Source organism: Homo sapiens, chromosome 2, assembly GCF_000001405.40.
Source record: "Homo sapiens chromosome 2, GRCh38.p14 Primary Assembly".
Taxonomy (NCBI): Eukaryota; Metazoa; Chordata; class Mammalia; order Primates; family Hominidae; genus Homo; species Homo sapiens.
Window position 1 is genome coordinate 158,381,476 of NC_000002.12, and position 15,872 is coordinate 158,397,347.

At 38.3% G+C, this 15,872-nt stretch overlaps 1 protein-coding gene across 3 annotated transcripts in view, besides 1 other annotated feature; it reads right to left on the minus strand.

Annotated features, from left to right (window-relative positions):
- CCDC148 (coiled-coil domain containing 148) overlaps nt 1-15,872 on the minus strand; it is a 285,681-nt gene that overhangs the window by 210,403 nt on the left and 59,406 nt on the right. The window lies entirely within an intron of this gene.
- Nucleotides 13,732-13,885: a silencer, noted in NCBI's record as "fragment chr2:159251719-159251872 (GRCh37/hg19 assembly coordinates)". NCBI's record gives its function as "represses an EF-1alpha promoter that drives an FKBP-Casp9 reporter gene in an ReSE screen in K562 erythroleukemia cells {active_cell/tissue: K562}" and the evidence as "EXISTENCE:reporter gene assay evidence [ECO:0000049][PMID:32094911]".

Consider the following 15,872-nt stretch of genomic DNA (forward strand, 5'->3'; position numbering starts at 1 on the left):
TAAGAAAGTGGAGCAACCAGAGCGTTCACACACAGCTGGTGGGAGTGTAAACTGGAACAACTTCTTTAGAAAAAAATTACTAGCAGTTCATCTACTATGACCTAGCCATTATACCTTTTATATACTCAATAGAAATTTGTACATACATTCATCAGAAGACATATATAAGAATGGTCATAGCAGCGCTATCTCCAGTAACACATGTTAGAAATGACCCACAGCCTGGGCAACAAACAGATACTGACTCTACAAAAAAAATGAAAAACTAGCCGAGTGTGGTGTTGCATGCCTATCACCTTCTCAGAAAGCTGAAGTGGGAGGATGGCTTGAGCCCAGAAGGTCAAGGCTTCAGTGAGCCATGATCACACCATAGCACTACCTGAAACAAACAAAAAGAAACTACTCAGATACTATGGTCTGAATGTTGGTGTTTCATGCCCCCACCCCCTGGCTAAATTCATATGCTGAAACTGAATCCCCAACGTGTCTGTATTAAGAGTTGGGGCCTCTTAGGAAGTTATTAAGTCATGAGGGCTTCTTTCTTCTGAATGGGATTAGTGTCCTTACAAAAGAAATTGAAAAGTGTGTATTTGCCCCTTCCACCATGTGAAGACAGAGCAACAAGGGCCCATCTTTGAGGCAGAGAACAAGTCCTCATCTTGCCTCATCAAGCTCTCATCGCCAAATGCTGCTGGCACCTCAGGCTTGGACTTCCCAGCCTCCAGAACCGTAAGCAATCAATTTCTGAAGTTTATTAATTACCTAGTCTACAGTATTTTGTTATAGTAGCTAAAATGGACTAACACACCAGATGTCTACCAATAGTAGAATAAATTGACGTATATTCACAAATTCACTATTAGATTTTTGTTATTGGGAAAAGGGCTGAGAGGGAAAGTGAGTATTGAAATATTCATTAATACTAGTGCCGACTTATGTCTAGAAAATGATGCTTCTAGTCCTGTCCAATGGGAAATGTGTATAAGGCAAAGGGTGTGTAAACAGCTACTAGCATCATTCTTCTCTGACATATGTATTAACTTATTTGCTCCAAGATATATTTTATAACTGCTAAGGCTAGTTTGACATAACCAAGTGACAGAGCTGACAAATTTGAATAGAAGTGTTAAGATAATTTTAAAACCAAATCTGAGGCCAGGCACAGTGACTCACGCCTGTAATCCCTGTACTTTGGGAGGCCAAGGCAGGTGGATCACGAGGTCAGGAGTTCAAGACCAGCCTGGCCAACATGGTAAAATCCACCCTGTCTCTACTAAAAATACAAAAAAAAAAAAATTAGCTGGGCATGGTGGCAGACGCCTGTAATCCCAGCTACTCGGGAGGCTGAGGCAGGAGAATGGCTTGAATCCGGGAGACAGAGGTTGCAGTGAGCCAAGATCACACTACTGCCCTCCAGCCTGGGTGACAGAGTGAGACTCCGTCTCACAAAAAAAAACCACAATAACAACAACAACAAAAATCTGAATATTTCAATGACACAGTTTTACACGTAAAAAAGTTGCCATAAAAAATGATGACATAGGCTGGGTGCAGTGGCTCATGCCTGTAATCCCAGCATTCTGTGAGGCTGAGGCAGATGGATCACCTGAGGTCAGGAGTTCAAGACCAGCCTGGCCAACATGGTGAAACCCTGTCTCTACTAAAAATAAAAAAAAATAAAATAAATAAAAATTAGCTGGGCATGGTGACGTATGTCTATAATTCTAGCTACTTGGGAGGCTGAGGCAGAAGAATCGCTTGAACCTGGGAGGTGGAGGTTGTGGTGAGCTGAGATCACACCACTGCACTCAAGCCTGCGTGACAGAGAAAGACTCCATCTCAAAAAAAAAAATTACAGATGACTATTTAGTGACATATAGCTTACATATAATATTAAAATTCTAAAGCAAGATAAGAGATAGGAATAATTATAATTTTATTTTAAAAGTGTATATATGTGTGTAGATGTATATTTAATAAATGACTGCAAAGCTATACATCAAAATGTAGTAGTAGTAATCAATGTGAATAGAATTATTTTTATTGTCTTCTTTGTGTTCCATATTTTATAAATTTTCAGTGAAAGAAAAATTTTTTTCTTTTTAAAATTTAAGTTATGTTTTTATGTTTAGAAACAATCACAGACTTATAGAAAAGTTGCAAGTAGAGTATAAGGAAGTTTATTTTTCTGAAGGAAGGTTCCATTTCAGAGGAAAACTGTTGCCCTGATTTCCCATCCCTCCTGAATACTTGAGGGTGTCTTTCCTACAAACAAGGACATTCTACTACATAACCACAAGACAACTCTCAGCAACAAGAGATTTACCATCGATAACTTTACTGTCAACTGATCCTCAGATCTCATTCACGTTTTGCCAACTGTTTCAATAATGTCCTTTATAGAAAAAGGCTCCAGTTTTGAACCAAGCACTGCATATCGCTGTCACGTCTCCTTAGTCCCCTTCAGCCCAGAATTGCTACTCAGTCTTTGACTTTCAGGATCTTGACACTTTTGAAGATTACATGCCAGTTATTTTGTAGCATGTCCTTCAGTTTTGGTTTGTCTGATGTTTCTTCATGATTAGGCCCAGAATATGCATCTGGCAGGAATATCACAGAAGTGATGTGCTCTTCTCATTGCATTACCTGATTTCCCTTTGTCCATTACTGATGCTATTGACTTTGATCGCTTAATTAAGGTAGTGCCTGTCAGGTTTCTCCACTATAAAGGTACCTTTCTTCCTACTTGTATTTTGTGGAGAGGTACTTTGAAAGTGATAAAGTTTAATTTCTCGTTAAATATGTAAGTTTTTGTTTGTTCATATCTGCATAGATTTGTTTTATTCAATGGTGATACAGTTTGGTTCTGTGTCCCTACCCAAATCTCATGTCAAATTGTAATCCCCAGTGCTGGAGGAGGGGTCTGGTGGGAGGTGATTGAATCATCAGGTGGACTTCTCCCTTGCTGTTCTGTGATAGTGGGTGAGTTCTCATGAGATCTGTTTGTTTAAAACTGTGTAGCACCTCCCCGTTCATTCTTTCTTCCTCCTTCTCCAGCCATGAGGATATTTCTGCCTTCCCTTCACCTTCTGCCATGATTGTAAGTTACCTGAGGCTGCCCCAGCCATGTTTTCTGTACAGCATGTGGAACTGTGAGTCAATTAAACCTCTCTTCTTTATAAATTACCCACTCTCAAGTAGGTCTTTATAGCAATGCAAGAAGGGACCAAAACAAATGGGTTACAATCTGTTACTATATTTATTTATTTTGAAGCTCAAATTATCCCAAATTTAGCCAGTGGAAACCCCTTCAAGCTGGCTTCTGTGCCCTATGTCTTTAAACAACAATACCCATTCTTAGCTCACAGTTCTGCAGGTTGGAAGTCTGGCATGGCATGACTTTGCTCAGAGTTTGATAAAGCTGAAATCAGCATATCACCAGCCTGAGTTATTTTCCAGAACCTTAAGGGAAAACCCATTTGCCAGCTCATTCTTATTGTCAGTCAAATTCAGTTACTTGCAGCTATTGGACTGAAGGTCCCCCCACTTCCTTGCTCACCATCAGTCAGGGACAGTTGTCAGTGACTACAGTTGTTTGCATTCCTCATGTGGCCCTCTCTATCTTCAAAGCCAGCCATGGATAATCACCCTCATGCCAATTCCTTCTCATGGTTTGGATCTCTAATTTTCTCTAGACCTAAATTTAAAGGGCTCTTGTGACAAGATCAGGCTTACTTGGATAATCTCCCCTATTCTGAGATCAACTATCAGGAACCTTAATTACATCTCTAAATCTCTTGCCATATAATGTAACATAGTCATGGCAGAGATAGCTCAACAAGTTCATGCTACTGGGAATTACACAGAACATATATGCTAGAGGGCAGGAAATCTTGGGGCCCTCCTAGAATTATACTACACATACAAAGTACTAAAACAGTACGTAGCACATAGTAAGCACTATACATGTATTAACTGATATTATTATGTATAATTGAACAAATTCACAGACATCTTTAAAAAAGCAATGCCAAGGGCATAGCAAAATAACATTCCAATTAACCATTAAGGAAATAGACATTGGTAGAAACTTCTGGCAATTTGTTAAAATGTATATAGAAATCCAAGTACTTCCATTTCTAGGAATTCATCCTAATGATATAATCAAAGGTATACACAAAGATATATAAAAGAAGATATTAATTATAATTAAGCTTCTGTGGCATGTCATGATAGGTCTTAGCCTCCTGACACTGCTGTAGGTCAAACAAGGCTTCTGGCAACTTCTTGGGGAGCCCCAGCCTTCTTCCTGGAATGTGAGGTGGCTTTTGGCAAGATAGGGCCTCTTGAAAAGCAAGAGAGCATACCCTGTTACCATCTGTCTATGGTAACATCTAGGTCATGCCTATCTGCCAAAACAAGGGCATCCTGGGAAGGAAGCCTCTGCACTGTCTCCCTGGTTTTCTGTGCTACTGCCTCATCCAAGCCCTAACAAATAGTGGGGTCTGGCCTCTCACTCCTAATGTGTTGTCCCCTTTACACTAAATTGGTTATATTATGCCCAAGATTCTAGAGTATGGCTTTTGCTTGGTTTTAGCAACAATATGAAGCATCCTAGAGAACAAAGTATGTATCAGCGGTTGGGGGGCAGTGCGGGGAGTTGATGCAGAAGGTAATTACCAAGAGAGCACCTGTTGCATACATTATAACACTATAAAATAGCTGCTATTAGTCTCATTTTTCAGGTGAAAAAACTGAGGCTCAAAGAGGTTAAACAACTTGTTCAAGGATGCACATTTAGAAAATGGAGAAACCATGTTTTGAAACAACTGGTTTCACCCTTTTTACCATACCAGTGATTGCTATTAATTTCTGAGATTGTGTATTTATTTTAAAAGCTCACCAAGAAATGTTCATAATTAGTCTACTTTAACACCTACTGCAGTAAGCATTTCTGCTTCCCGGTACATGAAGGCAAATTAACCATATACAATGTGGTTGCAATGCAGATTAATTTTTCTCCTACACATTTTTTTCAGCTGTAGTCTCCCACAACTTAAATTTCAAATTAACAGATGTACCACAAGTTCAGCTTGAATAATTTTTTTCCCATCATCTCAACCCAAAGAGAGATGCTCCAAACTCCATGATCTTTGGAACTATCATCTTTCCATAAATTCAACAACCAAGCTAGTTTTGTCTACCTCATACTATTCTCTGACACAATTCTTGATTTTTAAAAAAATCAATACCTAGGGCCCCTGAAGTCACCAAATTGCCCATTTCTCCTTCAGGGATTTTCCCCTCATCCTTCCCATACTCCTTCCCACATATTCTACCTCCCCTCATATGCACAGAACAATTCAATCTGCATTCACCTTCATTCACCTTTCATTACCACTCATTTCTAGCTCCAACAATCTGCCCTATTCTTGTTCTAGTTTTTGCCAGTGAATCTCTGGCAAGCAATTCAAACTCATGGTTACATTCCAGCCACATAACAAGTGTCTTTGCAGGGACAAAAATGGGACTATAAAAAATACATATATGGTTGTGGAGTTCTGTGTTCTTTTGAAACCTTTCTTTGAATGTTTCCTTTCTTTCTGTCACAACATAATTTTCCAGCCTCTTCTGGGTCTTTGCTCGTCACAGTCTAGATCAAATATTTTTCCAAGGAGCTCTGGTTCCTTGGAGAATGGCATTAGAAGGCAAGCTTTGGGCACTAGATGTGTTCATGGCCACTGAGATGTCACTACTTCTAGGCTCACCCAGTAGGCAAAGCTAGAAAACACAGGCCCACACATTTATATCATTATCTATATCTATATCTATATCTATATCTATGAATATACACTGATATCTCCAACTGCAATACAACAGTGTAGGGTTCATTATAGTTTTCTCCTCTCCTATATTTGTAACTTCTTTCTCCAACAGTGAGAAGTCCAGCTGCCGTTAACTTTTTATCTTTTATTTGATCAACTCCCTATATAAAATCTCATCCCTCATCTATAATACCACCTCTCTTCTACACAGATGCCTCCCTTATCCCATTTGGGTCCCAACAGCCCACAGTCAGTGCTCCCCTGCCTTCACTCACATGAGCTACAATATTCCATGGCAGATTCTACCCTTCCAAATATACTTCTTCCTCACTCTGACTCCCCATTCTGCCCCCCACCCCATTGCGTGAGCCTGCTTTCCACTCCAGTTGAGTTTCAAAACCCCATGTCAGGCTGTCCCTCCATGATGATGTTCTTCTCACTCTGCTTGGGCACTGACACAGTGCACTAGTCACCCATTCATGGTACCTCTTCCACCCCCACCTTGCTTGTGCTCTGACACCCATATCAGGCCGCCCTTACACATAAATGTGGTCCTTACCCGCATTGGTCTCTGACCCAGTGAAGGTCAGCCTTCCTAAACAAATGCCCTCCTTTCCCCTTTTTGGGCTCCAACACCATAGTTTGGGCCACTGCAGTTCCCTCCCAGTTCCAGTGTAGAGACCAGCACTGTTCTGCTCCTTATAAGGATTTAGGACTGAAAGTTCAGGAAGGGACAAAGAAGAGAAGGAAACTGGGTAGAGGAAACATTGTTTTCTTCCTATATGGATAATGCACATCAACAGAAATTCTCTAATTTGTTGCTATTATGGCTTAACAGTTTTCTATTGGTAACTCTAAAAATGTTTGATACACAAATTAATTCCTTCTATAAGTAGTCATACCCTTAGAAAAGAAGCCAGTCAGTATTTTCTGAAGTCTTGTTATTCCAAGAAATTGAAACCCATATTCATCAAATTAATGAAATCAGTTACTTTTTAAGTGCTCATAATTATGGGTAACCAATGACAAGGGCAGGGAACAGTACCCATTATCCCCACCAGGGAGGAAAGGGTCACAGTACTCAAGAGCATGAACTCTGGAGCTAGAGTGTGGGATTCCAAACCCAGCTCTAACACCCTTGGCAAGTTCCTTAGCTTCTTTGTGTTTATGTTTTTCTATCTTTATTTTTATTTTATCTATTTATTTATTTTGAGACGGAGCTTCACTCTTGTCACCCAGGCTGGAGTGCAATGGTGCAATCTTGGCTCACTGCAACCTCCACCTCCTGAGTTCAAGCGATTCTCCTGCCCCAGCCTCCCAAGTAGCTGGGACTACTGGTGCCCGCCACAATGCTCGGATAATTTTTGTATTTTTAGTAGAGACAGGGTTTCACCATGTTGGCCAGGCTGGGCTCGAACTCCTGACCTCAGGTGATCGACCTGCCTGGGCTTCCCAAAGTGCTGGGATTACAGGTGTGAGCCACCACACTGGCCTCTTTCTATGTTTAAAATGAAGAAAATAGTAATACTTTCTAGAGTTGTGAGGATTATAGCAGATAATACATAAAAACTTCTTAGAAGACATCTGGTGTCAAAAATATCATCTGAAAATATTAGTTATTAATGTTGTTACAAAGGTAGTTGCAGATGCCTGAAAACATGTCCAGAGATTCTGTGATTCTTAGAGCCTGATTTGAGAAACAATATATTAAAATGTAGACACTGTCACAAAGGTAACTCTTGGCACTAATGTCATAAATCCACGGACACAAAAATAGGCATCAATATTGTATGGATGGATTTAAACTACACATACTCTTCCTTAAAAATTACGTTTGAAATAACACAAAGTATTTAAATTCTCATAGAGAACTTAAAAATCTCACAGCATATGTTGGTGGTCCCCAATATGAGAAACACGTTTGTATAACATAATATATTTTTCATTCTCTCTACGACTTGAGGAAATATATAAAAAGACCAAATAGTCCTTCAATGAATTTGGTTTTAACCAGGACTCCTTTCAACTATTTTAAATAAACAAAACACAAAACAAGAATGAAAAAGAAACAAAACAAAATCAAATGAAGTTTATGTATGACAGAATTCATGCTAATTTACTGCAAAACATGACAAAACTGTGATAAAGTTAATTGGGCTGATCCCAGATCAATTTCAATTCTCAGTTCACATTCTCTTAAAAGAAGGGCCAGATAATTATTCTTTCAAAAGCACTTATCCATGTCGTCACAAACTAATTAAAGTAAAACTTCATCTTTCTTCATTTTAAAATCATTTCACCATAGAGCTAAGTGAAAAATGCTCTGTAGGACCACAACATTACCTATTTATTTGTAAAGATGTCTTCTTTGACTAGAATTCATCCTGCTCTGACTTTACTTGTAATTATTTTCTCATGATTCAAAATGTATTTCCAAGACAACTTTTGCACATTTAAAAAATTCAGCACAAAAGTTTAAGTGGAGTAGTGCAGATGAAATGTCCTGCTCTAAATTAGGCTTACACTTCCTTTGGTCATTTTAAAATGCTATTGTCAAATCTGACTCAGGACAGGCTTTGCACTGGCTGCTGTAGGAGTAGAAGCCTTAATTGCCTTTCCAGAAACAGAAAAGAAAGATTATATTGGTAATTCCCATGCTTCAATATGTATGTACCTTTTTACTGATCAAGGTCATTTCTTAGCACTTGTATCAGAGAAAATTCTAGTCTAATGACTGAAGGTGTCCCACTTTACAAAAGAAGTTATTTTAAGAACTTCTACCCTATATGCTGCTTAGGACTACAGTAGATATAAAATAACTGCCTTTTGTCCTTTAGTGAAAACCATTTGAAAGTACAAGGAAGACTTAAAACAGCTATGGTTTATATAATCTTGAAACTTACATATTATATGGCTCAATTCCTCCCAGGCAAAAAGCTGGAAGGGGATTCTCTGAGAAACCAGTCTTCAGTCAAGACAAAGGGATAGAAGGACCAAACGACATACCAAGACACAAAGAACAGGAAAGCTAAAGGCCAAATAGGCCAGGAAGAGAGTTAAGAAGTGAGAAAGACTGGGCCAAGAGTCCAAGTTTGGAATTAAGGAAATGATGCTGAGAAAGAACAGATGGGAATAAAAGTGGGAAAGTCAAAAAAGAGTGGTGGGGCTGCAAATTAACTGTTGCAGCAGAAATTTCTGAAACTCGTTTTAAATAGCCAAACTCTTATAAACAAAATTCCTTCTCCAAAATTTTAAACTTGAGGCCAAAGAAAGCCTGAAGTCAGTCTTTACCCAGTGACTAGAGATCTAAGACATACCAAAGCTTAACAGCTGTCATAAGCTATGTTTCCCACTGAAAAAACAGGTCTGCAGTGAGCATGAAGCCAACATGCTGAGAGATGAAGGTGATGTTTATTCTGAGACCAGGCTGCATTCTAGCCTTTCCTTGGTGTCTTTTGCGCTACCTTTTTCGGCATTTCTAGCCAAGAAGTCTTTTTTTTCTTAAGGTAGATTGCATTGTAACTAAGAATCCTGACAAATAACACTCCAGCAGTGTAAAGGTTTGACAGAAAGCAATTTGCTATTGGCAGAACCACTCAGCATCTCCACAGAGCACCAAGGTTCCCCAGGTCAGAGACTGAAAACCACTGCCCTATACAATAGCTGTTATTTGAGACTTATCTTTATGGGCAGGCAAAGGTGTAATACATGGCTGGTGCCAGGGGTGAACATACACATACTTCATTCATTCATTTGACAAAATATTTGTTGTATTCTTATTACATTCTAGACACTCTACTATGCATGGAGGCTACAACAGTGAGTGAAAGGATATGTTTCCTGCTTTCATGGTGCTTACTGTCTAGTGGCCTCTTGTGATGATGAACCGTGAATTACAGAAGGGCAAGCTCCATTTACTATTGATGGCTGCAACTCTTTCCCAATAATGTAATAAAAAATATTTGTGCTCAAAATGGATATTCTATATTTATCATGAACATTTAATTAAAAGGTCAATATTACTTGTGAATTGCCTATATTACTACTCCTAAACCATACAAGCTAAGCTTATAACTATCATAAAATTTTAGAGAACATTTAACCAAGATGACACAGATGAATTAAACATTTGCTACCCAAGTAATGAGACTTTATACTACTAGTTGCTGAAATTGTTTTGCTCTATTAAAATATTAGAAAAATGATCTTTCCTTATTTCTGAAAACACAAGTATATTGCTAGTCCATATTGCTTGCCTCAGCACTTATTATTATTTAAGAATAAAAATAATTAACAGATCCCTCTATTAGGAACCCACAACATCCAAGGATAAGTAATTCTTAAATAGTAAAACAATTGAGGCCTAAGGTGAAATTTTTGTTGCAATATCATGACATGAATTAGATTCTTTTCACTTATACTGAAGGATGAGGCATGGGCTTGCAGAATTGTGTAAGTAAAGTTGTAATCATTTATCAGAAAATAGCTTTGGGACTGTGATTACACAGACATAAGCAAAATCACTCAGTAATTCAGGTGAGCATATCAGGCAATAAAGGTTCCTTGGTAACAGGGGCACAAGTGGTGGTGTGAGGGGATGAGACCTGGAGGAGGATCTGAAAAAGAGGAGGCAGTTTTAGGGTGAAATCAAAAGGAGAACAGTCCCAGATTCTCCCCAACTGGCAGTATCTCCCTTTCCCCATGAGACAGAAAGTGATGACTTCACCAGATAAATTCACGCTGCAGAAGGGTCATAATTTCATTGCATACTCAGACATAAATCCACTTCCTGCATCTGAGTCATCAGGTTCTTTCATCTTGGTTTCTCACCTCTAGTTTGAGATTATAACACTCCCCATCCTATATTCATTCTTCTATTGATTTATTCACTCATTCAATATTTACTGAGCATATAATATGGTCCAGTCATTGTGCTAGGCGCTTGAGCTACAAAGATGAAAACAATACAGTCTCTATTCTGCAACAGCTCTGGGCATTCATCTCTAAATTCATAGTAGTGGTCTGTAACTTTTTTATTACATATGCCTACTAATGCACTTTTCAGCATGTTCTGTCAATAATGAATATTTATTACAGGTTGAGCATCCCAAATCCCAAAATCCAAAATGCTCCAAAATTTGAAACTTTTGAGCACCAATATGATATTCAAAAAAATGTCCACTGGAGGAGTATTTCAGATTTTAGATTTTTGGATTTGAGATGTTCAACTGGTAAGCATAATGCAAACATTCCAAAATCCCAAATCCAGAACACTTCTGGTCCCAAGCATTTTGGATAAAGGATACTAAACCTATATTTGTAAACTATTACAATTATCATAAATTATTTGCATTACTATATACTATATAAATTATTTGTATTACTATATTACTTTCATCTACTCTCTCAGGGCAAAATAAACCCTTAAGATAATGTTACTAGACAGCAATAGTGAAACACAGATATAAATCTATATTTTAAATTATCTGAGTCATTTTAAATCTTCTATAAGATGTTACTGGATTGCTACTGTTGTTGTTACTGTGATGGGCCTGATGTCAGAGACATTGCATACGACTGCACACAACCACATGCCATGCTATTGCTGACAGTGTTTGTAGCAGTATAGAGGAGTCAGCTCTGGCTTTTTCCTGTCATTTGTGTGCTTACATTACAAGTATTATCTACAAGTCAGGGTGTTTCTGTAGGAATATATTTAAGATACTTGTCCATCTTGTGAAGGTAGTTTTAGTTTAAAAAAAAAAGTTAACATAATCTGTAAATCCTCTTAAAACCAGATAAAAATAACTATAACATTTCATAATATGCTGAATATAAGCAAATGTGTGAGAGCAAACCTGGAATAATAGGGGAACTGAGTGAAGGTGCCAGGATGGATGTATACATGAAACATTAGAAAAGCTTACCATATTGCCTTAGATTTCAAATCAATAAAAATAGGTCGAATGCTGCCTGGATCATCTTGTACTCTACATGAAGGAACTCTGGTCTGTGGAGTGAGGCAGAGATCATGATATCGTAGCTATGCTACTGGAGCACAAAAGGCAGATAGCCTAATTTTGCTTAGGATGGAGGGCCAAGGTGGAGAAAGATAGGACAGGTGATGTATAAGGTGAGTCTTTAATAGCAGGGGGCTTTCATCAATTATAGGGAAAGGGAAGGCCTTAGAAAACACAGATATTTGAGTGATGGGGCCACAAGGGTGGGATATGTTTGAAGTAGTACAAGCAAGCAATTCTGTGTAGCTACAGGTTAGGGGGCCAAGTGGGCAGACTCAGATACAGACAGAGAAAAAAACTGATAAAAAGAGGATTGACAGAAATCTGCTGATGCCAAGAACACCGATGGCTTCAATTTTGAAAAGGGCAGCCAAAATTAAATAGATGAGCTGACAAGAGAGCAGATCACAGAGGTGGATGGATTTTTAAAGAGAAATCATTGAGGAACATGTCATATTAAAAGACATTGCTATAGATAACCTTTCTTGGGAACTAAATAAATGGGTCTTTTCTCCAACAGTATCACAAAAAATAGAACAGTTTCACCCATAAAAGCCTTTCCTTATACCAGATATCTGTGGGATAGACAAATGGAATAATTATATAACAAATTTGATTTTAAAGGATGTGATTGTCATTTTGCCTTTAATGACCAAAGAGCCTTCCGAGTTCCTAGATCCTAATATTCTTCTTTGTAGATCTCTTACTCTTCAATACCAGTAAGGGACTCTGAGGACTGACCAAAGAGGTATGTTTAAGGTTCAAATGGATAAGTCATTATCACCTGACTCATTCCACTTACAACCACTGTCCATCAGTTTTGAGTTTATTTACAGAGGGTAAAGCTTAGTTATTATGCACTAATATATGCAAAACATTTGCATATATTCTTCTACTCCTAGAAAATTCAGAAATTGCAGAGAGACAGTGTATTATAGTAAGGCAAAGCAATAATTTCCATTGACAAATAAATAGGGAAATAAGTTGAGGATCCCAAGCTGCATCTGAACCAAAATGAAAGAATAAAATTTTTCATAGCTGATATCTAAAATGAACAAAAAGGGAAAGAAAATAGAACTATTCTGAGACTTCTAAAAACTTGGGAGGTAGGATTCAGGTTACAAGAAGGCATGAGCAAACTCTAGGAAGGCTGGCACAGTAAACATTTAGGGCTGTTTTGGGCAAAGCTGTCTAATAAATAACAGTCAGTACTAAGGTTTAACAGATGTCAGGGAATTCTGAGTACTGAATCACCCTGAATTCTTCCAAATTCTCATTCTCACTTCCAGAAGGAAAAAAAAAAACTGTGGAGAAACCCCACATTCCTTGGGGCTTCAGAAGTAGGGAGAAGGAAAGACCAACTAAAACTTGGAGAGTCGGCCCCTCCTCTGTTCCCTTTCATGAGCCTCATACCCTCAATAGGGCCTCTCTCCTTGAGGTAATCACAGATGCTAACTCACAGGCAGTAAAACTTGCCCACCTCATTCTGACTACACCCTGACAACTAAGAAATTTTTCATTCACCCTCCTCCAACGCCAAAACTCTATTGTTTGTTCTCCTTCTAAAATGAGTTATCTTATTATAAAAAATTCAAACAATACATTGAAAGTCCATAATCCTATCCCTTAGAGAGAGCTATTTTGTGATTATTTCTTCAGCTTTGTTTTCTCTTTAATTATTGACAGAGTCTGTTCCTTAATCAGGAAAAAAGAACATTAATTTTCTAAAGATAATAGTTTTATTTTAGAAACATAAAAAATATTCAAAATCTAATTCACAGCCAAAAAAAATGCTACATTTCTGTACCATAAATATAATAGGATAAAAAACACCAGCCAATAATATGGTTTTGTCTAGTTGAGGGGACAGATCTAGGCAAAAGGTAACATAATTAACAAACTTCTGTGCCCACTCTTCTGCTTCTGAAGCAGCCAGAAACCTGCCCGTGGTACACAGGGCCTATCCCAACTTCCACAGCCCAGTCACCCCATCTAATCAATGACACATATTTCTGAAGAGCCACTTCCTCCTCCCTGCTGTCCAGGGAAATTCCTATTATCTCAGCTAGTTGTTTGAAGGATATAATCTGATTAACTTCATGTTAACAAGTGAATGAAGGAAAGACTGCTTGAGCAGGCACCTACACAGGAGTATGCTTGTTAAAACTAAAGAATCTGTAAAGGCTCAAATTTCAGCCTGAGTGATAATGTGAAAGGGAATAATTTCTGGTAGTGTACAAAGATAATTTTGATTAGAGGAATCTCCTTGTTGAAACTGAAAGTCATGCTGAACAACATGGACAGCCTTTCCCTGCCTATGTGAGATCCAGCATAATGCCAACTTCACAGCAATATGTCACTGTAAAGGCAGCAGAGCTGAGCAGGAAGACAAAGGGCTCTGGAATCATGCACATCTGGATTCACACCCCACACTGCCCCTTGCTAGAGCTATACATTTTTGGCAAGTTGCTGCTATTATTTTTTGACCTCTCAAATATCTATCCTCACATGTCTAACAGGAATGTTATGGGAATTAAATAAAATAGCTATACAAAGTGCTTGGCACATAGTAGGGGCTTAAGAATACAATCATTATTACTTATGTGATTTCTTTCAGTCTTTATACAACATTTAATAAACTGGGATTTCCCCAGAGTCTTCCGTAAAGCAATTGTTGATGGAATGGCTAAGGACAGTCCAACTACTGGCCAATACGGAAGATTATATCTCTTATTGTATTGTGTCATCACTCATTGACATGGTTTGAATGTTCCAAAATTTTTCCCTGAGAGAGGTAACACATCAGGCCCAACTTGGTCCCCAGACATAATTATTTTAACCCTCACAGTGTTTTGTTTAGCTTTTCATTTGCATCTAATGCCAATATTTAATAATTGAGAAATATTATATAAAATCCATGTTTTCATCATCTTTTTAAAATTTCTGCACTAAAAAGTTTATTTCTCTATGAGAACAACTGCTGGATTTAGTAGTAGCTGTCATTTTTTTAGATAGGACATATGTTCTCCAACAACCCCAGTCCCCACCATGCCTCATAGCACCCCAACACTGAGGAAGAATGTCAGTTGCCATTTATCATCTAGCTTGCACTGCTGTCTTCCTAATTCTGGGCCCTGTCCACCAACTTTCACTTCTGAACTGGCTCCTATAGGCATTTGAGTCAGTGGCCTCTGCCCCAAGAGCCAATTAATGTATTCCAGAATGTGGAACAGTGTACTCAGGTTCTGAAATTAAACCTGGCTTTGAATACCGATTCTCCATGTTACTACTCAGGCAATTTGCTTCACCTGCAGAGCCTCAGCATCTTCAACTCTACAAGAGAAATAGTGACAGACTCACCTCACAGGGTCATTGGAAGGTTTAAATCATATAATGCATGTTCAGAAGTTTTCATCATACTTTGTTGTAAAAAGGGGCAAAAATGTTAACTACTACTAAGACAATGATGATGACTACTACTACTACTATTATTATTATTGCTGCTGCTGCTATTACCACAATTACTTCTAGTAGCACTACCAAAATTACTACTACTCTTAGGTGGGAAGGTTAAAAACACTTATTGGCTTTCCTCAATCTTATTTCTGCTTTCTCAAGCTAGAACTTGAAATTCATTTGGAAACTCTTATGGAATATGGAGTCTTTCAAAAGTGGGAAAGAGCAGTTTCTATCTGCTGCTGACCTTGAGAACAGGGATGTACGGTGCAAAATGAAGTGAGAGCACTCCCACTCTCCAGGCAGCAAGACCACTAGCAAGCCAGACCCACACTTAAGCTCAGGTGAAGAAGGCAAGAATCTGTCTCAAAATCTCAGTAAGAAATATTTTTCAGATAAACCAACCCAGGAGACAGAACTATGGCATGGGGAGGATAAGACCTCTAAAGATTTGAAGCTAGACAAGGCAGGCCAACATTCAAATTCAGGAAATACAGAGAACACTACAAAGATAATCCTCGAGAAGAGTAACCCCAAGACACCTAATTTTCAGATTCACCAAGGTGGAAAT